General features: G+C 44.6%; 2 protein-coding genes across 6 annotated transcripts in view; one reads left to right on the top strand and one right to left on the bottom strand.

Moving 5' to 3' along the window:
• The window catches only part of RAB9B (RAB9B, member RAS oncogene family), a 55,934-nt gene continuing 39,418 nt past the window's right edge, over window positions 7,279-23,794 (bottom strand). For both annotated transcript variants that reach the window (NR_146558.2, NR_146560.2), the window contains 2 exons: window positions 23,636-23,693; window positions 7,279-7,608 (listed from right to left, as the gene is read on the bottom strand). The gene's annotated coding sequence lies outside the window, so the exon portion shown is untranslated. The remainder of the gene's footprint in view (window positions 7,609-23,635; window positions 23,694-23,794) is intronic.
• PLP1 (proteolipid protein 1) lies at window positions 7,461-23,574 on the top strand. Of its 4 annotated transcripts, NM_001128834.3 has the most exons (8): window positions 7,461-7,602; window positions 7,808-7,954; window positions 16,537-16,723; window positions 17,420-17,681; window positions 18,753-18,921; window positions 19,392-19,465; window positions 20,288-20,353; window positions 21,482-23,574. In NM_001128834.3, the coding sequence occupies exons 2-8, from the start codon at window positions 7,951-7,953 to the stop codon at window positions 21,551-21,553; spliced, it is 834 nt and encodes a 277-aa protein (NP_001122306.1). In that variant the 5' UTR covers window positions 7,461-7,602; window positions 7,808-7,950; the 3' UTR covers window positions 21,554-23,574. The 4 variants fall into 4 exon arrangements, with proteins under 4 accessions (NP_001122306.1, NP_000524.3, NP_955772.1 ...); NM_000533.5 differs by lacking the exon at window positions 7,461-7,602 and having other exon boundaries at window positions 7,795-7,954; NM_199478.3 differs by lacking the exon at window positions 7,461-7,602 and having other exon boundaries at window positions 7,795-7,954; window positions 17,420-17,576.

Genomic DNA, 23,794 nt, shown 5'->3' on the forward strand with positions numbered 1-23,794 from the left:
GTCCCACATGAGAAGGAAACAAGAGAAGGCAGGAGACAGTCTCAGTAGGGGAGGCTGAGGTAAGCTTCCCAGAGTAGAAGCCATATGTTATACCCCTTCTGAACCCCTTCCTGCTCCTCTTGTGTCCAGCACATGGTGGGCAGGAGGCTGATGGCAGTAAGAATCCACTCCATCTTTGCTGGATGACTGATGGTGATTTTCCACTGTCAGCACTAAACAGTCAGAAGCTCTGCAGAGGCAGCTTGGGCCCCTTTCTTCACGCTCTCTTGAAACTCCTGTGCTGAGCTAGCAGCAGCCTCACCATAGCCTGCCAAGTTCTCAGCTCTGTTAGGGCCAGCCTGGAAGGGACCTGAAGAAAAAGATTCTGCCTGTTTTTGTTCTGTGCAGATATGGTCGGGGTGATTCTAGTAACCAGGCACAGCTCCAGACACACACACACACACACACACACACACACACACACACACACACACAGAGTTAAATGAGCAACTATAGTGTGCCAGGTAAATGAGAGCAAAGTGGCCAGGGATAATCATGGAAGGGATGATATGCCAATATGTCAACTAATAGTAAGATGCAGACTGTTGGAAAATGAAATTTTCTTTAGAGAAATAGCCAGGAATGTAATAGAATCCCCCTTTAAGCACTCTTTTAAGGGCAGTGTGGCACACTGCAAAAAGCAAGTCCTAGTTCTTGTATGGTTTCTCAGCTGACTAGCTGATCAGTCTTGGGAATGTTAAATTCTGAGCCTCACTTTTATTATCTGTAAAATGGGGGTGACCATCATTTCTTTCTTGTGGGATAAAAGTGAGATAATAAATTGCAGTAAGGGAGAGTGCACACTATGAGGAATCGGGGAACCTCAGTAAGACAGTGTTAGGAATGACTTATAGGATTTGGATTTAAGTGATTTTGGGGAGGGTCTAAGGAAGTGGGGCTTTACTCTTGATTGGATGCTGTCAGGAAGCAGGGTAGTTCTATAATTGGGTATTTCAATAAGTGCTATCTATAAGGACGGATGATTAGAGCAAAGATAAAGATGTAATTAAAGAAGAAGCAGCCATTCATATTCCCCAGAATAGAGGGAAGTTTGATCACGTTTATGGTTTAAACACTGTTTATGTTTTATCTGTGTTCAGATCTGATTACACAGTGGTGTTGTTATGTCTTGATCCATCATGGTCACGGAGTGGCCTTGTCTGATGTTGATATTCTGTGAAATTGTTTAGCAGTAGAACAGTAAGTCCCAACTGATAGGGCCAGGCCAGGTCCTAGCTGACAGGGGGCTGCTTGTTTCTTTCTTAGTGCCTCCCTTATAGCCAAGGGCCGACAAAGTCAAGCTGCAGATAATTAATCAATGATATACAGGTTTTCACCATTGCCAAGATTTTGCTGATCAGGAGGTTGTTTAGAGAATGTAATCTGGGCCTGCATGGTGACTCACGCCTGTAATCCCAGCATTTTGGAAGGCCGAGGCGGGCAGATTGCTTGAGCTCAGGAGTTTGAGACCAGCCTGGGCAACATGACGAAAACTCATCTCTACAAAAATACAAAAAATTAGCCAAGCGTGGTGGCTTGTGCCTGTAGTCTCAGCCACTTGGGAGGCTGGGGTGGGAGGATCACATGGGATCCGTAGGCAGAGGTTGCAGTGAGCTGAGATCACGCCACTGCACTCCAGCCTAGGTGACAGAGTGAGACCCTGTCTTGGGGAAAAAAAAAAAAGAGGTTGTAATTTGTAGTAGGACTAGAATAAGTCTGTTCTGCTCATTATGTTGCAGGATGAGCCTTTTCAGATTCTGAGCCCTTTCAGAATTCTCAGAAATCTTGAGGAAGACACTGGACTTCCCTGGTAAGGGGTAACATGGAACTTGAACCAATTATATTTGAACTGGAATGGACAGGATGACACTCTGCTGACATTTGGCTTACTTGTGCACTTAGGGCAGGGCAAGCACAGCATAGGTGCTCAATGTTAGTTTTGTCTGAATTTTCATTTTGTTAACGCCTGTAATATTCCTTCCAGAGGAGGCTGTAAGCTCTCTCAGAACAAGGGTTGCATCCGGAAACCATCTCATTTCTCTGTTTTCCCCTCGATGTCTGGCAAAGTGCTAGATACAGGATAAGAAGAGAAAAGAAAAGACAAAGGTCTGCAACTAAGTAATTTTTTTTTTTTTTGAGAGAGGGTCTCACTTTTTTGCCCAGGCTGGAGTGCAGTGGCACAATGAGGGCTCACTGCAACCTTGACCTCTCGGGCTCAAGTGATCCTCCCACATCAGCTTCTGAGTAGCTGGGACTACAGGCATGCACCATGACGCCCAGCTAATCTTTAAATTTTTTGTAGAGACGGGGGTCTCACTATGTTGCCCAGGTTGGTCTTGAACTCCTGGCCTCAAGTGATCCTCCTCCCTTAGGCTTCCCAAAGTGTTGGGATTACAGGTGTGAGCCACTGTGCCTGGTGGCCTCTAAGTATTAACAGGGAATTGCCATTTACTGTGCTATGTCCCAGGCTGAGGGGGGATATGAACCCAATTTGGCTACCTACAAAGCCTAAACTCCTAACCATTATGGATTATGTATCCTGCTTCAGGACCCATCTCATCTTGCCTTGCCCCAGATGATCCTCCCCAGAACAAAGCATGACTGGGGTGCCCAGGGCAGGCTCACAAGATGAAGAGATTGAGGGCTGAGATGCAGAGAAGAAGGTGTGTCCATAGGGAACATGATTTCCTGTGTGAGATTTCCCTAGCCATTCTCGTGGCTCACACCCCAAAAGCCAGCTTGTCTTGCCACAGCAGACTGCCCTTGCCTGTAGGGCTGCCGGATTCACTAATAAAAATACAAGGCATTCAGTTAAATTAGACTTTCAGACAAACAATGAGCAATTTCTCAGTATAAGTATGACCCATCCAGTATTTCGGATATACTTAAATGATTATTCATTGTTTATCTGAAAGTCAAATTTAATTGAGTTGAGCATCATGTATTTTATCTGACAACCCTACTTGCCTGGGCGTGATATTTCAAAGAGCAGAGGAATGGGGGGCTTTGGGGACTTCCCATTTAGTGATTTCAGCAAGGGGAACCTAACACCTGCTTTTGTTGTTGGCAGCCCTTGAGGCAACTGCTTCAAGCACAATGCTTAAGGCAGTGTTCCAGTGCTGGTGTAGGCTGACCAACTTGTTTTGGTTTTCCCAGGCCGTACCCATTTTTAGCACTGAAAGTCCCACATCTTGGGATCTCTTCGTTCCTGGCAAACCGGGATGATTGGTGATTGGTCACCCTAGTGATAGACATACCCAGAGGTGCTGGTGGAGATGTTAGAAGACAACAAATACACAAAGAAACTGCTAGGTGTGTCTCAAAGAGTCTCAACATTTCTTCAAAGCACATATCCTTGGCTCCATTTTAAAGATAGGCAGGTTCAGGGGAAGTATAGGAATCCTGGATCTGAAAGGTGTTGGTTCTAGAGATCACTAAAGTTCAGCCTCTATTTTTTAAATGCTTATCAAACATTTGCAGAGATACTCTGTCACCCCATCTGGTGATTATTATTATTATTGTTATTATACTTGAGCATAGGCACTATGGTAAGAATTTTATGTTCAGTATCTTGTGTAATCTTTTTTTTTTTTTTTTTTTGAGATCTGTCGGAGCGCAGTGGCACCATCTCGCCTCACTGTAACCTCTGCCTTCCAGGTTCAAGCACTTCTTGTGCCTCAACCTCCCGAGCAGCTGGAATTACAGGCATGCACCACCATGCCTGGCTAATTTTTATAGTTTTAGTAGAGACAGGGTTTCACCATGTTGACTAGTTACTGACTAATTTGGAACCCCACTGATCCTACAAACTGCCGGAAGTTTGCCTCTGCCCTGGGTTTCAAATAGCGGCCTCCTACTTAACCTGAGAAGTGTAGAAGGTTGAAAACTTGGGCTACAGCAGCCCGAAGCCTGTCCATCCTCCCCCAGCCCCCGGCTGTTGTTGCTCAGGGCAAAGGCTCTCTATTCACACATTTTTTCACAGCAGAACAACCTCCCAAGCAACTTCCAAGCAATAAGAGTCTGGAGACAGGCATTCTCTAGAGATGGCTCTGGTCTTTGCTTGCTAGGTGCCATTGGGAAAATTGTCTCAGTATCCCATCAGTCAAATTGAACAAATAACATTGGTTCCCCAGAAATAATACTAGTTTTATTTCTACTTTGCTCAGAAATCACATCAAACAAGCATCCTCCCTGCAGGGGCAACCCTGCAAAAGCTGGCCAAGTTTTTATGTTGGTGGAGGTGGGTTCTGTGGACAGCTTGTTTCTTCACATTGCTAGTAGCTATGTGGTGCTCCTCAGGCATTCTTTAGCTGAGATTTTTCATGTGATTATTTTGGCTTCCAGGCTACTCTTTACTCCATCCCAAGCCACGGGCATCTCCCCCTCACAAATACACCCCATGGCCTGCCCCTATCCATCCTCCCATTGTTCCTTGAACCTTCAGGAAAGGCAGAAGATCACCCTCCACTCTCTACCCCTGTCTGCCAGCTCAAAGTATGTGACATCTCTGGCCCTCAGCCCTCGGTTCTCTTGGCCAGAAAGGCATAGTCTAGCCAATCGGCATGAAGTTGGGTGTGGAAAGTTCTAGCCACAGTACATAGGACATAATATACTGCCTGCCTGCCAGCCAGCCAGTCTTCTATGCCAGGGCTAGGAAAGCTGCCTTCCAAAATTTGGTCTGGGAAGACATTATCCTGGGAATGAGAAGCAAAGCCTCAGCTCTAGAAGCCCAAATAATAGCAGATGACCCAGGCTTTCACTGGTACGCGCTTCTCTCTTCCCCTTTATGTTCTTCTCTGTGCTCAGGGAGAAGTTGGCCACTAGATTGGGCACTTGATCCCTTATCTAGTTTTTCCTGGGAGAAATTCACTGGACTTCTCTGAGTTTTAGAGTTCAGTCTACACAATGAAGCAAGGAGAACCCACTTGATCTGTGGCCTTCAATAATCTGATACTATGGGATCATAGAGCAGAGAGTGGAGGTAATATTCAAGTGTTTTCGAGTTATTTGCAAGAAAGCTGCACAGTCAAACCAAGCCATGATCAAGGGGGCCCAGATTCTCTGAGGTACCATCAGAATTGCATGAAGCAAACTGTTTACGAGTTTTATACAATCCTGCATTGTTCCCACAGGCACCCAGTACAGGCAGCAGGCTGCACCAAGAAGGCTGGCAGTGCCTCTTGAGGAATCCCTTGGCAGTGCAGGAGCCTAGCTGGACTCAAGAATATTTTGCCAAGGGCACCCAGCAGAACCAATGGAAGCAGAATCACAGAAATAGGTGGGGGTATGTAGATAAAAATGGGCTCTGGAGGACCTGGGAAGATACCCTATGAGGTCTGTAGGGAGCCCTCAGGAAAGGTCTGCTGACGAGGTACTGAGGCAGAGTGTCGGGATGTACAGAGCAATGAGAACACACTAGATTCTAGGGAGTTGGGAACCTTAAGGCACTGGGATGAGTGAGACACGGTCACCTGGCTGGGTCCCTTTTCTGGCCCTGGGCATAAGAACAAGCATAAGAACAAGGCGAAGACAGGGAATGTGGAGAGAGAAAAAGGAAACAGAGACAGACACATAGAGAGAAACAGAGACAGAGACAGGTAACAGAGACAAAGAGATTGAGACTTGGGGAGAGGATAGAATGAATATTAAGGCAATGGAGATGGAAGAAAGGAGAAGAGAAATGTGTGTTAAGGGAATGTGGTTGATAAATTGGTATCTGTGGGTTTATTGGGAACACATATTTTCTTTCCAGTAGAGTTGCTGTCCCCAGAGCTGCTGCTGAGAACTCAGGGGAAGCTTTGTGAGAGGGCTCAGTCTGAGTGATGTCCCCTGTGTGGAGAGCTGTCTCATCTATTCGAGCTGTGAAGGATCATTTGCCTCATCCTCTAAATCTGAACTCCCAAAGTTTGGGCTCACTCCTGCCATCTGATGAGCTGAGGAGACACATTTGGCGATTTCTTGCTCTTGGTCCTCCCCCTTCTCCAGGGCCATTCCGACAGTGACCATCCAGAAGTTTATTGCTGGCTCAATCCTACAGTTGAGCTTCCAAAGCAGGCATAGTCTGTGGCTGGCGAGCAGGGCTGGGGAGGGCGAGGGGCTCTAGGACCCTTTTCCATCAGTCACATGGCCTTAGTCTCGTCTGCTCTGGAAAGCTACTATTATACCGTTTTGCAAGGGGCAGCATTTCCAGAGATCCTTTTTTCTTGGGGCTGATACAAGAGCAAAGGATCTAGAGTTCTAGTACTCTAAGCAAGCCTCAAACGGTGCAGGATTTGGCCCCAGTGGGCCCACAGGGGCATCTGCCAAAGACTCGTCCATTTCCTAACAGCAGAGCCCAAGCCAGTAACATGTCCAAAGTCACAGCCCAAAGAGAAAACTGTAAGACACAATCTTGCCTTTCTCCCACCCCAGGAAGGTACTAGTCTCTGCTCAGTATCTCCCTCCTCTTCTCTCCTCTCCCAAGGCAAAATCACAGGAAAAGTTCCAGGAGACCATACCTTCCTTCTCCGGAGTCTTCCAACAGGTGCCCCTCTTATTATATGCCAGCCAGTTGTTTTAAAGGCCATCCATGGGAGGACACCGGCCTCTAGGTCAAGGGAGCTGTGAAGGGAGACAGGACTGACAAGGAGCCCAGACAGACACTGTTTAAGATTCACCTGTTCTAGAAAACCTTCCCAGGCTGATCCCATCTAGCAGTGGGCATTTAAATACCTTCACAGTCTTTAGAAATAGCTTATTGCTAAGGCAGGTTTTATATAGTATTTCCCTGTTTTTGCTGCTTAGCCATTTTTGTCTTACCGCTTCTTTCTCTGTGGCAAGGACTATATTTCGTTTCTTCTCTCCACCCTCACTGCCACCTGCTGCTTCACTCTAACCCACTCCCTGCCTCTTGTCTGCCTGGCTTAAGCTCTCTGATGAAGATATTACACTCTCAGGATAGAATACTGACTACCTGATTCCCAGATCGTGTTCTTGACTTGTCTCGAAGTCGATTATCCTTCTTGGAAATCACCCACATCTTCAACGCTGGCCTTTTCTTTAACCTAGTCTGTGAACTTGCATAGGTCTTGCCCACTTCTGGGTCTTTATTATTGTAGCTATAAAATTATTACAATTCTAGCCTCCCCCAGCCTAATCACAATCTGTTCATCGAATTGACAGCCTGCATTTTGTCTTCATGCAGTTGAAACTGAGAAGGATTTGGAGGAAATTATCTTAAAAGACAATTTTTTCTTCTCTATTGTGTTCGTAGAGCTGGGGGTGGGGGTGGGGGAGGAACGCTTATTTTCCAAGGAATCGGGAGGGGAAAGGTGGAGAGGGCCAAGGGCAGCTAGGAGTGATGTGGGGAGCTGGAGCAGATTCGGAAGGACTTTGGGAGCTAATATCTAGGTTTTTGACTCTGAGCCCCTGTTGGGGCTCTCACTTCATGGCTTCTCACGCTTGTGCTGCATATCCCACACCAATTAGACCCAAGGATCAGTTGGAAGTTTCCAGGACATCTTCATTTTATTTCCACCCTCAATCCACATTTCCAGATGTCTCTGCAGCAAAGCGAAATTCCAGGCAAGCCTTAGGGAAAAAAGGAAAAACAAAGAAAATGAAACAATTGGCAGTGAAAGGCAGAAAGAGAAGATGGAGCCCTTAGAGAAGGGAGTATCCCTGAGTAGGTGGGGAAAAGGGGAGGAGAAGGGAGGAGGAGAGGAGGAGGAAAGCAGGCCTGTCCCTTTAAGGGGGTTGGCTGTCAATCAGAAAGCCCTTTTCATTGCAGGAGAAGAGGACAAAGATACTCAGAGAGAAAAAGTAAAAGACCGAAGAAGGAGGCTGGAGAGACCAGGATCCTTCCAGCTGAACAAAGTCAGCCACAAAGCAGACTAGCCAGCCGGCTACAATTGGAGTCAGAGTCCCAAAGACATGGGTAAGTTTCAAAAACTTTAGCATTGAAGATTCAAGAGGACACAGGAATTCACAAGAGAATTTCCAACTTTGGGGTTCGGGGGTTCCATGGTTTAAATGAGTCGTGTTTTGGCACTTGTTTTCTTTTTAAATTCCTTAACATTCAGTTAGATTAACTCCTTCTCCGCTGTACTAAGCATGATGCTTTATTACCAAAGAATTCCAGCAGCACGTGGAGAGTCCCACAGATCTCTGGAGAGAGTGCCCAGCTGGATGGATGTGGTCATGTGTCCTCCTACCCCCTCACTTCCCTCTATCTTCTCTTTTCCCTTGGTTCCAAGGCCCTGGCAACGGTTGGGTCAGCTTGCCCTCCTGGTTCTGCTGGAGGCCACTGAGCACTGTCTAGCCCTCAGATGTACAAAATAACTGCTTGCTTGATGCAAACTTTGAACCATGTTTGGCATTAATAGGAAGCTGGGGATCGGGCAAGCTGGACTCAGGCTTGGCTATGGCTGAGGAGGCCATTCTCAGGTTCAGGAAATGAAAGTAAAGTCCTCAATGGCTTGACCATGGGAAACAGATATGGGTAGGAGTGTGTGTGTGTATGTGCATATGTGCATGTGTGTGCACATATAGGGTTGATCATTTCTAGCAAATATCACAGACACAGCTTTCCTGAAGGCTCTTTGCTGTGACAAGGAGGATGCTGGGACATTAGGGCTCTTGCTAAGTTGGCTGAGTATTGAGGGCTTTTCTAGGTTCCGTGAACAAAGACAGAAGCTATGAAGTTCTGGTGGTAGTTTCTACTCAGAGTAATGTGTGCAGAGCACAAGGGTCTTTGTCCCTATTGGACTCCACAGAGTCCTGTAGACATTGCTAACATTTGGCAAAACAAAGATAGCAGCTTAAACACATCCTAAATGAAATGAGACTCAGTTGCCCCATGTATTCCCTATCAAATGTAGCATCCAGTAGACAACATCCACAGAGATCAATTTGCAATTATACTGAGCTGGTTCAGCCTTTAGGTTGTTTCATCATGAAACACAGAGAGAACACTTTGAAGCATGTGTTCAGGTAAAACAGGAGGGAGAGCACTGGACAGGGAGTCGGAAAAATCAGATTCAAATCCCAGATCTGCTACTTATGAACTATGTGACCTTGGACAGGTCACTGAATCACCACTTCCTCATCTGGAAAATGGGGACAGCAATAACTACTTTGTCTACTTTCAGGGTTGTGAGAATCAAGTAACAATAATGTCAAAGTCCTTTGAAAATGGGCAAGATCTATAACAACTGTAAATCATGATAATACCTACTATTAGACAATAATGTGTATACAGGCGAACTCTTCCTCTTTCCAGGGTGGTTGGGTTTTCTTTGCGTGCTTGGGTCAGAATCATTTGACCAATTATGTGTGACCAGATGAGAGGTGAATGTTGGAGGAACTCAATTCCTGCCCTGGGTAACATCAGGAATCCTATCTAATGTCAGCCGAGCTGACTGGATAGGTTGTGCATTAAAAACAGAGAGGGAGTAAAGAAGGATGTTGAATATTACTTCCTCAGGGGATGAAATCCCTGAGGAAAGGCAGGAACAAATAAAGTGACCACAGGGACAATTGCCTGTTATGGAGGCTGGGTGGTTTCCTCCAGAGGAAGAGTGCCACAGATAAGGGCACGATTGAGGATGCACATTGGGTCCCAGGTCCTAAGGGTGGACGATACTTGGGCCAGGTACATATGATGGAGCAGCCACTGAGTTTTCATTTATTCAATAACAGAGTATCTAAAGTACTTTGAATTATAGATCATCTCTAACAAGGTACTGGACTGCCACTACTTCTGATGTGGAGTGCACTGCTGTTCAACAATTGCAGTAAACACATTGTATCATGGAATCCGGGATTGGAAGGAACTTTAGAAGTTGTCTGAGCCAACCTTCAATGCGGGATTCATTTTTACAACAACCAATTAAATGTTCGTACAGCCTCTGCTTAATCACCTCCAGGAACAGGGAACTTACTACTTCAACCATATAGAATCCCTTAGGATTGGAAGCAAGGAGGAACACTGATTCAGTAGTGTCTGCACAAAAGATTTATGGGGAAAATGATAGCTCATTAATTTTTGCCTTGATTTGGAAGGGGAATGTTCCAAGTGAGTCTTTGGGATAATGATGGAACCAGAAAGGAGCAAAAGAGCAGTAGCTGATTATTCTCTGCTCTGAAACACAATGCCATTATTGAACAGCAAAACATTGTCTGCAAGCCTGTTGTCGTCTGAGAACAGTGGCTGTTACCCTGGTAACCAGACTGTGATGCCTCCATCCAAAAGTGGCTGTTTGCCAAGCAGTGTAGTTTTGGCTGGCTTGCAGTAAGTGGGTGTAGCCCAGGCAAAAAGTGTGGCGGCAGAGCGGGGGTCCAGTTTTATAAAATGCCCGAAGACTAACTGAGTCCCATCAAAATGGCAAGAATGCCCCAAGAATACCAGGAGCCAAAAATAAACCAGATCCCAGCCAGCATGTTCACCTAGTCTTCCTGGAGACACTGACTAAAATAATCAAGTGCAGCCTTCTCTACCTCACTTCTCCCTTTGGCCGTGCAGAGCCAGAGGAGTTCTTGGAAAGCCAGGCAGTTTGAAAGGTCTACCCTGCTTTAGGGGGCCTTGGGCTTGGCTCTGAGCTAGGAAAGCCAGAAGTTTACTTAACAGGCTGACAACTGGAACTGCTCTCTCAGAGCGATCTGAGTAATAACAACCTCAACCCTGGGAGGTGGGTGGGAGGGGAAATATAGTCTCCAAACCCATTAAGGTAGAACTCCAGCCAGTAACATCACTTTCCCCCATTGCTTTTGTCTATCGTCCTGAAGCCTTGAAAGCCATCCCCTGGGTACAGGTCTTTGTCTTGAAAGAAAGCAACAGTAGAAATGCCTTCCCTGCCCACAGCACTTCAGGTCTAAAGAAGACCAAGTGAGGACAGTGACATGATCAGGAAGGGTCACAGCAGCCATGGTAGGTGAATGGAGCAGCTTTTCCTTCCTTTCCTGCTTTCAGAGCCTACTCAGTGCCAAACTTACATCAAAAGCTCAGCAAGTACTGATTGATTAATCCCTCTTGCCTACGGCAAAATGGCCCTGAGGGCTATCTCTCAGCTCTGCACTGGCCTCTGAGCTGTCTGCCAGGCAGGGCTCTAGAAAAGAGTCCCAAGGAAGAGAATAAGGTTCCCCAAATCAGCTTCACACTGCAACAAGGAGAGAGGAGGAAATGGTGGGAGACTGACCTGAGGAACAAGGTATGGCTACTATTGTCTCTAGTACCAGTTACTTCCCTTTCATCTTCCCATTCGTGGGCAAGGTGGAGACAATGTGCCAAGGATAAGTTTTAACAATCAAAGTCCTACCTCAGCTTCCCAATGCTTGCACATAAATTGGAATGTGTACATCATTCATTCTGTCTCTCTCTGTGTGTGTGTGTGTGTGTGTGTGTGTGTGCGCGTCTGAAGAGGAGTGGGGAGTATAGGAAACAAGATAGTCCAGATGCTGTTGCCGTGGTAATACTAAATCGTGTCCAAAGAGGAGGCTGAGATTCCTTTTTAGTTAACCTTGTCCACATGATTTGACTATCCAGCAGGCTTGGATTCCCAGGCCCCAGAGACTTCGGGACTGTTTTCCAGCACTTGAATGTGGTATATAAGTGCTGATATCAAAAGGGATATGTAGGAAAGACAAGATTATAGGCAGGGCATTGTCTGACCAGGACGAGGCCCGAAGCAAAAGTCTTTGTTTGTCTCTGGCACCTCTTGATAATTGTTGTTTTACTCCTAGAACCCACCCACTGATCCCCATCCATCCCTAGTACCAGTCACGGCTGCTCTAGCATTTCGGCCTTGTCAACTACTGCAGGCCCTGATCAAGGAGGCCTCTGTTCATGGGGTAAGGTTAAGGGGTGGGTTCTGGGAGGAGGGTAAGACTGTAGTGCAGATTCGAGACCTAGGGAGGTGGGGCCAGTTTCTCACTCAATGAGCCTGCCTGTTGTTTAGCTCTATTGTATAGGGTTCTTCTATCTCTCCCTTTGTCAGCTGGATTCAAGGGACAGGCTGGGAATTGTGCAGGGTACAATTGGTCTCTTTCTACCATTCCTTTCGATGAAAGCCCTTCCTCTCCTTCCTTTGATGAGTTCCCAGATTCACACTGAATTTCCATCATGGAGCTGGTCCTTGAGGCGGGCCCAGGGCATGGGAAAGGAGGGAGGGAGGGTTGGGAGCTCTTGGTGCCTGCTTAAAGAGACAGCATCAGGATCAACACAGTCCCTTGATGAACCTGGATCTGTGTAAGTCACATTGGTTCTGTTGATCTCTGTCAGACCGCTGTGAAGAGCGCTGGTGAGAAGGGCTTAAAGTTGGAGTATCAACTATCACAGATTGATTAGACTTGTTTTGGGAGTTTGTATACAAATGTAGCCAACCATGACATGATCTTTTCCCTTTGCTTACATTTTGCCCACACAACTTCGTTATATCCATTTTAACACTTGCTTATAGGTAGCTTTAGATTTTGATTCACAGACATATGTTTGTTCACCCCAACAGGATTTCAAGTTTTCTAAAGAAAGGGACTGGCCTTTTAATTCCCTTCTGTTTCTCCTAATGTCTATGTCACTGCTAGTGTGCTTAATTCTTGTACTGAATTCACATAAACAGAAATGAAAGAAAAACACTGGAGGGGGTCATTATTTTTCTCTATGACCTTTCATCAAAGTCAGGTGGCTTAATCTGACTGAGTTGCATTGAGAAATGTTATTACTATATGGTTCTTTTATGCCAACTCTCTCATCTCGCAGTCTGTACTTAGACTGGAAATGTGAGAATGTCTCTTGAGAGAGCCAAGGAACTTCTCCCCTAGAATCTCTTCCAGCCTTCTTGAATCAAACTCACACCCTTTCAACCAGGAGGGGTTCTGAAATGGAGAGCTTTTGGCTTTAGGCTATTGTTCACACATACCCAAGGGACATTTCTTGGACTGTGAAAAATCAAAGGGAGCCCAATGGATCTTTTCTCAGAATGCTTTGATTGTCAACTACTTTGATGAAAAAATAATTTCTTGCAGGCTCTGAGTTTTTCTCAGTTAGAATCTAAAATCTGATTCTTGCTTGGACAGACTGACTGAGATTCTTCACTTCTGCTGAACTTAAATGCCCCCAAAGCAAACATTTCATCTAGGTTGTGAAGAGATGAACATCTGATGCTTATGCTGATATTACTGAATTGTTTATAGCTTAATAGTGATAGATTTATCTAAAGTCATTTATTTCAGACTTTACATTAGAAACTCATTAAAGCCTACTTCTTTCTTGTCCCTTGCTTTGAGCTGTAGTGGAGCAGAAAAGGGGATGCTAAGTTATTCAAGTTCTAAGAAAATAGAGGAAAAATGGATGTAAAAAGAAAGGCTATGATCTGGTGACTCAGAATTGCTCCTAAGGCTTAGCCATTTATCACCCAGTAAGAACACAATCCATGACACTCTCAGGTTATTTGGATGATGATTGAGGGATCAGATACACTCAAGAGGATGTTTCCCTCTCATCTTTGCAACCCTAGAGGTGGCATCACCTAACGCTTAAAGTGGAGTTCTCTTTTGGCTAGCAAGAGTTCAAGTTCCTCCATCCCTGACCATACCTGCACAAGCACTTAGCCCTTCCCAGATGAAAATGCTGGGATGAGTGAGTAGGCCCAAGATGGTCACTTGCTAGGGTGGATGGCTCTTCTTACCCTCGGCTAAACAAACAGTCCTGCCATTGTTCCCTGAGTCTGACCCCCTCCCCACCCCCCGGCTGCAGGCCCCTGTGGAATACCAATCAGGCTCCTGAGATCTCAGGAAAGAACAAGGCTTCTTTGTCCGGGGGAGCTATGGAGGGCTCTGTCCAAGCCCTGACCCTGTGCTGGGGAGAAAGGGAACAGTGGGGTCACTGACCTTCTTCTCCCCCCATCCCCAGGCTTCAGAGACTTTCTTTACTAGAAAAGTCTAAGAGTTTGGGGGTGGGGAGGAGTTGGATAGGCAGAGAAGGAAAATGGCAGTACTGTTTACTTCTAAGCTCCTTTTCTTGACTTATAGGCTGAATCTAGTATCTTAACCTGTTGAGAAAGAGGAAGATCAATTTCTGGAATGTTTTCTGAGAACAACAATCGATTTCAGTTGTTGTGTTTTTCTCTGTGGTATACATGTGTGTATGTGCACATTTGTACACATGCATGCATGTGCGTGTGCACACACACAGACACACCCATGGGCCAGCTCTGAAAAGACACTCTTCCCAAGCACGTTTGCAAAGTTCATGCTGAGTAAACTCAGCCTCCACTCACAGCAGCACAGCTACAGATTGCTTCTTATAGAGGCCAAGTTTCCTGGCAGCAATGCTTTAGTTCTTGGAAAAGGAAGTTCTGCTCCAAATGTTAGCTGCTTACTTTGTTTGGCTTGGGCTTCTGAGGCTCATCTTTGGTGTGACACTCTTTGAAGGCCAAGAAAGGGCTGTCATTTCAGGGGATGGTGGGTAATAGGACTCACTCCTTTTGTGTCTCTGAGAACAGAGGCAAATGCCTCTACCTCGATTTTCCCATGACAGAGATAATTTGATCTTTCCAAATCTGTTCACACTGATGCAATTCAGCCATGTAAATCACTAGGTATTCATGCTCTCTGGGCTAAAAACAAACTGTAACTAATGTTAACAGAATCAGGAAAAGGAGTCCCCTTTCCCTGGTACCCTATAGAAAAGTGAGTGTGGCTTGGAGAAATGCTTGAATACAAAAATCCAAGCCTAAGTAATTAATACAATTTATTTTTATTGTACAAGCTGTCACAACCTGCTTATTCAAAAATAGCAGCTTCCCAGTACATTTGCTGAGTATTTGTGTGTGTGCATGTGTATACTGTGTTTATAGATATATAAAATCAGTGGGTATATATACATATATTTATATATATACATACATATGAATTAAGACATTTTTTCTGAAGAGCTTAACATTCTCATTTCTTCTACATTTTAGGGATCTGGCCGAGAGGCCAGAGGAAGCCATTCTTTTCCTCATCTAGTCAGTCATCTACTTGGCATTTGCTAAGGTTCACTCCATATGACATCTTAGAGCATGGGACTAGTACTTGGAACACAGCTGCTTTCAGAGCCTGTGACTTCTTGTGTGCCTCTCCTGTTTCTCAGCAACACTGGCATAGGGCCTGGGATACCAGGTCTGGGGATCTCAGGGACTCTTAGCACTTTAAGACACATGTGTTCCCAGGCCCTGGTGTGTTCCTCTAGTGCCAGAAAGATGTTTCATGCTTTGCTGACTTTGTATAAAGTCTGTTTGTAGCTGTTTTGACAGAATCTCAGCGTATAACTGAGGGTGGGGACATTAGCCAAGCTGCATTATAGGAGGACAAAACTGCCATACAAAGTGTCCAAAATCATTAAGCCTGCATTTTTATTATTGGGAGTAATATCAAACCTCCTATTTTCCAATTTTCATTTCTTGTCCTGTGCTAGCTCCATCCTGTTTGGACTGCTCCTCCCATATGTAAACTAAGAAGAATCAAGCATTCTTTGCAACAAATACACACGATGCTCAAAAATGTCCAGGAGCATCCAATTTCCAAAGTTTCCTCCACCTGGAATGCTCTTCATGCTAAAATCCTGTCTGACAATACCAGCATCTCTGGCCTGCACTCATCCCTTCCTGGAACTCCAAGTGCATTTACCCTCTGTTACCACTTACTTGGCTGCCTGAATTGTTAGTTGAAAATATTAGGTCTACTTAGCTAATTCTTCCTCAGGAAATTAAAGACTCCCATATGGCAGAGTCTGTGTCTTTTCTCTCTTCATATCCCGTATAACACCCAGCATAATGCTGGGCATATAGTGAGTATTCCATAAATAGTTGATGAATGACTAAAATAAGCAAGCAAACAAACAGACTAGAACAATAAGAAAGAAGGGACTGATTTCATAATCTCTCTGGCTTGCTATTTGAATTGCTGAATTATTATTATTTATTAAATATTTTTTAAATTCTGGCAATAAAAGGTAAGGATTTATTTTCTTTCTTTCTTTTTTTTTTTCTTGAGACAGAGTCTCGCTCTTACTGCCCAGGCTGGAGTACAATGGCGCAATCTTGGCTCACGGCAACCTCCGCCTCCTCCTGGGTTTAACAGATTCTCCTGTCTCAGCCTCCTGAGTAGCTGGGATTACAGGCATACGCCCATGCCCGGCTAATTTTTGTATTTTTAGTAGAGACGGGGTTTTGCCATGTTGGCCAGGCTGGTCTTGAACTCCTGACCTCATGTGATCCACCTGCCTCAGCCTCCCAAAGTGCTGGGATTACAGGCATGAGCCACCGTGCCCGGCCAAAGATTTATTTTCAAGAATGAAACAAAGTAAGGATTCTGGGTCAATCTCACATGCTGAAAGCCAAAACCTCTAGCCGCTCCTGCTTTTTGACTTCGGAGTGCCCACTATCTCCGAGCCTGTGAGCACAGGGCCTGGCAGAGGGGTTTGAGTGGCATGAGCTACCTACTGGATGTGCCTGACTGTTTCCCCTTCTTCTTCCCCAGGCTTGTTAGAGTGCTGTGCAAGATGTCTGGTAGGGGCCCCCTTTGCTTCCCTGGTGGCCACTGGATTGTGTTTCTTTGGGGTGGCACTGTTCTGTGGCTGTGGACATGAAGCCCTCACTGGCACAGAAAAGCTAATTGAGACCTATTTCTCCAAAAACTACCAAGACTATGAGTATCTCATCAATGTGTAAGTACCTGCCCTCCCACACAGACCCATCTTTTTTTTCCCTCTCTCCATCCTGGAGATAGAGAACTCTTCAGTACCTTAGTAACTAGCAGGGGACTGGGGTGGAGCCAGACCGGATTCCCGAGTCTTCCCTCTGTGCAGATCTCTCCTGCTCCACATTCGAAGCCCATTCAGAAAGGAGGGGTCTGCCTGCCTGCCTGTCAGCCCCTCCCACCCCCGCCCCCTTGTTTTCTTACACGTGTTCTGACTTCTGCTAGGTGTGGTTCATATTGCCCAAGTTGGAGCCTCCAGCGTAGTAGGTATGGAGAAGCCAAGGGAGGCACTAAGCCTCTCCTGTTCCTAGAACAAGTTAGGCTCCTGTTCCTTCACCCACCTTTCTTCTTGTCTAGCTCCCTACTCCTGTGAGTTAGCATGTCTGAAGGGTGGGGCAGGGAGAGTAGGTCCCTGGTTCTCCAGGTCCCAGGGTAAGCAAGGTGTGGCGGGAGGGGCATATGTTTCTGGTCACATACACCCTGTCTTCACTTATTTCAACAAAGATAAGGTGAAAGCATGCAGGAGGAACCTGGTGATTCCTCTAGAAAATCCCTAGCCTTGTTAAGGTGCTCGCTCTGGTGTATACCTCACTTATGTCGGGAAAGAAGCCAGGTCTTCAATTAATAAGATTCCCTGGTCTCGTTTGTCTACCTGTTAATGCAGGATCCATGCCTTCCAGTATGTCATCTATGGAACTGCCTCTTTCTTCTTCCTTTATGGGGCCCTCCTGCTGGCTGAGGGCTTCTACACCACCGGCGCAGTCAGGCAGATCTTTGGCGACTACAAGACCACCATCTGCGGCAAGGGCCTGAGCGCAACGGTAACAGGGGGCCAGAAGGGGAGGGGTTCCAGAGGCCAACATCAAGCTCATTCTTTGGAGCGGGTGTGTCATTGTTTGGGAAAATGGCTAGGACATCCCGACAAGGTGATCATCCTCAGGATTTTGTGGCAATAACAAGGGGTGGGGGAAAATTGGGCGCGAGTCTGTGGCCTCGTCCCCACCCAAGGCTGGGTCCTCTCTAGGGGCCTGGCATTTGAGTGAGGAAGCGATGGCTGCAGCCGAACGAGAAGGTCAGGAAGAACGTGGTGCCCAGCTGGCTTAGCCTCACCTTTCAAAGGTTCCCTAAGCAAATTTCTTCTCAAAACAGAAAGCATGAGTTTTGTGGGATGCTTTGTACAATCAGACCATTTCTAAGCCATCTGTTGGTATCCCTTTGTTCCCTTCCTAGTAGGTACCACAAGAGTGGATCTAACTGGACAAGAGTCTAAAATGCTGCTCATGTGATTGAGACTTGGGCACCTGATCTGAGAGGGAGGATGGATAATAAAAATTAAATAATTAACTCCAAGGTGAAATTTACAATGTTCTGGGATCCTGCACAGTTCGAGGTCCCAGAGGGAATTGGAGTAGATCTGCATGTTGAATGTTTTATTGCCTGAGGGTTATCCATGCTTTGAGTGAGGTGCACATTTGTTTTCAGTCTCTGGAGTTAAAGATCCTTTGGCGGCTGAACATGTGTGGGTTCCAGCAATGTCTTTTTGTGGCCAGCAGTTAGCTTAGAAAGGTTTTGTATCTGAAATTTTAATCTCCTATTGGCTTTGTTCAATGGCTAGGGAACAAAAATGTTCCTATGGCAAGGAACATGTTCTAAGCTCAGCCTAAGGCACAAAATGGCACGACTTTCTTTCAAGATCTGTTTTGATTTCTTTACACCTTATCTGCCCAAAAACATCCTCTGAAGCCTCTCTAACCCAGGGATCCTCCTCACTCTTCCCCTACCCATTCCCCCCACCCTCCGTTATACTGGGGCCAGTTATCTAGTAGATACTGCCAATTACCCTTGGCAGAGGTGCCCTGCTCACTAATTTCATTTGAAGGAGAGCCCTGGAACCTGGTTTTAATGTCTGGCACACGCCACTCCAGGATCTCCCAGTTTGTGTTTCTACATCTGCAGGCTGATGCTGATTTCTAACCACCCCATGTCAATCATTTTAGTTTGTGGGCATCACCTATGCCCTGACCGTTGTGTGGCTCCTGGTGTTTGCCTGCTCTGCTGTGCCTGTGTACATTTACTTCAACACCTGGACCACCTGCCAGTCTATTGCCTTCCCCAGCAAGACCTCTGCCAGTATAGGCAGTCTCTGTGCTGATGCCAGAATGTATGGTGAGTTAGGGTACGGGTGCTTTGGCTCTCCTACCCACTATGGAAGCACTATATATTTGGTTATTTTCTTAGTGTAAGGAGGGTGGTGATTATGAGAAAAATATAAGATGATGAATGATTGGGTCTTAGTTTATTAATCCTTCCCTACTGAAACCAGAGAGGTTTCTTCCCCGGGAAGGGAACTTGGAAGTGGTGGGAGTTTTCTTGGCCATTCACATTGGCCTACTCTAGTTGACTGCTGTTCACAACCCCAAAGCAGCACATTTCAATAACAAACACAAGGTTTCACCACTGTTCAATACCACCTTCTCTTTTTTGTAAACCTGTAGAAAAGAGGATCCTGATTGTTGGTAGAATCCAACTTTACAGCCAGGATAATTAGAGATGGAAGAAGGGCTCTGGGGGAAAGTCTCCATGTGGCCCCGTAACTCCATAAAGCTTACCCTGCTTGCTTTTTGTGTCTTACTTAGGTGTTCTCCCATGGAATGCTTTCCCTGGCAAGGTTTGTGGCTCCAACCTTCTGTCCATCTGCAAAACAGCTGAGGTGAGTGGGTTATTTGGGTTATTTTACAAGGGAGTAGCTAATACCATACAAATTACACCCATGGCCTTCAATTTTAAGGACTGAAAGTTTCCCTTTGCTGGATTTTGAATTAGCCGATTGCCTTCTACAACATGTTGGCTAAGTGTGCCTGAGCCAATGAGCATAGAAGGTAAAACACCTGTTTTCTCTAGAGTTGCATAGAAAGACTTCCTTTCCAACCCTTCCCCTCTTAAAAGAGAAGTTTGTAGCTTTAGGTAAAGATAGAGCCTAATGGCAAAATCCCCCACATGAAAATTTTCATTCCTTTAGTTAAAAACCATATCAAGAAAATGGGCTGTGCACAGAGGCATTCATAGGTTTTATGAAAACATTTTCAATTTGGAACTTCTTTATCTCAAATGAGAGGTAAAATAAGTACATTTGAAAGGGAAAGCACTGTATTGAGAACAGATATTATATACAAATGAGGCAGGGGAATAAAAGTAAATCCGGGGGAGACAGGCAGTAAATTATTTCTTTGACAGCAAAATGTTGACTTTAAATTTTGGGCCCCTGGGCACAACTGTAGGGAACCAGTTAATTATTTTGGAGTACTGTACTATTTCATGACTATTCTGTGATCTGGGTGTTAATGGGCCAGGTGCTATGGTGTACACTGAAGACTGGGAGGCCCACATTTAGGGAAGTGAAAACTTAGTTAGAGATGTGGAATTAGCACACAAGAAAGATATCAACACATTCAGAAAGCTGTATTCATGATTTACAGTGGAGCATATTACTGCTGTTGCAAGAAACAGTTCTTCCTCTTTCATTTTCCTGCAGTTCCAAATGACCTTCCACCTGTTTATTGCTGCATTTGTGGGGGCTGCAGCTACACTGGTTTCCCTGGTGAGTTGACTTTGAATGATCTTGGCAAGTAAATAGGCCTGAGATAGTGTGGGTACAGCTATTCTGAAAGGCAAGAAGGTAGACTGCTTCCATCCTTGAAATGCTGGAGGGAAGCTTCTGGGAAGATAGCAAAGGGTGGAGGCTCCGTACTTCTACTTGCATTGGCAAGGCAGAAAGACATCACAAATTAGATGGGAACAAGAAAAGTGGTATGAGGAAAGAGGTAAGAGATTCATAGACACGAATGATAATATTTAGTATTTATAGAACATGTAATGTTGCCAAGTACTTTGCAGTCATAAATTACGGTTAATTCTCAATACATTTTGATCAGATCAGTGACAAAACACTGAAACATCACGAAACATGACTTGCTATAGCCTGGAATTCTATATACTATCAATATGAATCCACTTTGGATACTCTCCAGTGGATTTAGTTACTCATATGGAAATACTGGGAGGACCTCCTAACATTATTAGAATTGTTATGATTATAATACAATGCTATGTCCCAGGTCTTGCTGATAGTGCTACAGTGCCCTGTGAATGTAGTGTGCTCATTGTGCAGATTAAAAACCTAAGGCACTGAAGGGTGAAGTGATTTATCTGAAGTTATTTTATAAGCAGTGATCAGACAAGATGAGCTCACAGAACTCCTGGCCCCTACTGCTGAGGTTTCCATACAGAGTCAAGTAATTTCTCACCTTGTAAAACGAATTGATTCATTAACCAGGGGAGAGCTCTACTGCATGATGTGGCTGTGTGTCTACAGCAAGCACCCTATGACTCTAAGTCACTCGGACATATTGATGTGGCAAAGCCCAAATATTGTTCACTTCCCTGAGGAAAACTCAGTGCTAGATCAAACAGAGGTGTGGAATAAATCTTTATGATTTGATTCTCTGGGCCTGGGCCATGAGACCCATGATGCCTCAGAGACATCGGACTTCCAGTCAAGTGTATATGGAGAAAGCCAAGCCTGGGATGTACTGCTTTTTGCAGAGCATGGGTTTTTCCCTTATTTAGTTATGATTTTATTTCTACCCTTCCTCATTCCCAAAGGGATTTGAGGAGGGAGTGCTTTCTTTTCTACTCTCATTCACATTCTCTCTTCTGTTCCCTACAGCTCACCTTCATGATTGCTGCCACTTACAACTTTGCCGTCCTTAAACTCATGGGCCGAGGCACCAAGTTCTGATCCCCCGTAGAAATCCCCCTTTCTCTAATAGCGAGGCTCTAACCACACAGCCTACAATGCTGCGTCTCCCATCTTAACTCTTTGCCTTTGCCACCAACTGGCCCTCTTCTTACTTGATGAGTGTAACAAGAAAGGAGAGTCTTGCAGTGATTAAGGTCTCTCTTTGGACTCTCCCCTCTTATGTACCTCTTTTAGTCATTTTGCTTCATAGCTGGTTCCTGCTAGAAATGGGAAATGCCTAAGAAGATGACTTCCCAACTGCAAGTCACAAAGGAATGGAGGCTCTAATTGAATTTTCAAGCATCTCCTGAGGATCAGAAAGTAATTTCTTCTCAAAGGGTACTTCCACTGATGGAAACAAAGTGGAAGGAAAGATGCTCAGGTACAGAGAAGGAATGTCTTTGGTCCTCTTGCCATCTATAGGGGCCAAATATATTCTCTTTGGTGTACAAAATGGAATTCATTCTGGTCTCTCTATTACCACTGAAGATAGAAGAAAAAAGAATGTCAGAAAAACAATAAGAGCGTTTGCCCAAATCTGCCTATTGCAGCTGGGAGAAGGGGGTCAAAGCAAGGATCTTTCACCCACAGAAAGAGAGCACTGACCCCGATGGCGATGGACTACTGAAGCCCTAACTCAGCCAACCTTACTTACAGCATAAGGGAGCGTAGAATCTGTGTAGACGAAGGGGGCATCTGGCCTTACACCTCGTTAGGGAAGAGAAACAGGGTGTTGTCAGCATCTTCTCACTCCCTTCTCCTTGATAACAGCTACCATGACAACCCTGTGGTTTCCAAGGAGCTGAGAATAGAAGGAAACTAGCTTACATGAGAACAGACTGGCCTGAGGAGCAGCAGTTGCTGGTGGCTAATGGTGTAACCTGAGATGGCCCTCTGGTAGACACAGGATAGATAACTCTTTGGATAGCATGTCTTTTTTTCTGTTAATTAGTTGTGTACTCTGGCCTCTGTCATATCTTCACAATGGTGCTCATTTCATGGGGTATTATCCATTCAGTCATCGTAGGTGATTTGAAGGTCTTGATTTGTTTTAGAATGATGCACATTTCATGTATTCCAGTTTGTTTATTACTTATTTGGGGTTGCATCAGAAATGTCTGGAGAATAATTCTTTGATTATGACTGTTTTTTAAACTAGGAAAATTGGACATTAAGCATCACAAATGATATTAAAAATTGGCTAGTTGAATCTATTGGGATTTTCTACAAGTATTCTGCCTTTGCAGAAACAGATTTGGTGAATTTGAATCTCAATTTGAGTAATCTGATCGTTCTTTCTAGCTAATGGAAAATGATTTTACTTAGCAATGTTATCTTGGTGTGTTAAGAGTTAGGTTTAACATAAAGGTTATTTTCTCCTGATATAGATCACATAACAGAATGCACCAGTCATCAGCTATTCAGTTGGTAAGCTTCCAGGAAAAAGGACAGGCAGAAAGAGTTTGAGACCTGAATAGCTCCCAGATTTCAGTCTTTTCCTGTTTTTGTTAACTTTGGGTTAAAAAAAAAAAAAGTCTGATTGGTTTTAATTGAAGGAAAGATTTGTACTACAGTTCTTTTGTTGTAAAGAGTTGTGTTGTTCTTTTCCCCCAAAGTGGTTTCAGCAATATTTAAGGAGATGTAAGAGCTTTACAAAAAGACACTTGATACTTGTTTTCAAACCAGTATACAAGATAAGCTTCCAGGCTGCATAGAAGGAGGAGAGGGAAAATGTTTTGTAAGAAACCAATCAAGATAAAGGACAGTGAAGTAATCCGTACCTTGTGTTTTGTTTTGATTTAATAACATAACAAATAACCAACCCTTCCCTGAAAACCTCACATGCATACATACACATATATACACACACAAAGAGAGTTAATCAACTGAAAGTGTTTCCTTCATTTCTGATATAGAATTGCAATTTTAACACACATAAAGGATAAACTTTTAGAAACTTATCTTACAAAGTGTATTTTATAAAATTAAAGAAAATAAAATTAAGAATGTTCTCAATCAAACATCGTGTCCTTTGAGTGAATTGTTCTATTTGACTTCACAATAGAAACTTAATAATCGTACCTTGTTCAAGGAGATCATTCATTTTTCAGCTCATCCAAGTCATTCTCATAACATTTCTCTGAAATAAATAGTATATGAATAGATTACTTCTACTTTTATAGTTGAAGACACTAAGAAATAGAAGCAAAGTAATTTGCCCAAAGAAATCCAGTAAGTACA

This window comes from Homo sapiens, chromosome X, assembly GCF_000001405.40.
Source record: "Homo sapiens chromosome X, GRCh38.p14 Primary Assembly".
Taxonomy (NCBI): domain Eukaryota; kingdom Metazoa; phylum Chordata; class Mammalia; order Primates; family Hominidae; genus Homo; species Homo sapiens.

Coding starts and splice junctions, on each gene's coding strand:
- PLP1 (NM_001128834.3), top strand. Junction 18,922..19,391: donor TGCTGATGCCAGAATGTATG/GTGAGTTAGGGT, acceptor TGTCTTACTTAG/GTGTTCTCCCATGGAATGCT. Junction 19,466..20,287: donor CCATCTGCAAAACAGCTGAG/GTGAGTGGGTTA, acceptor ATTTTCCTGCAG/TTCCAAATGACCTTCCACCT.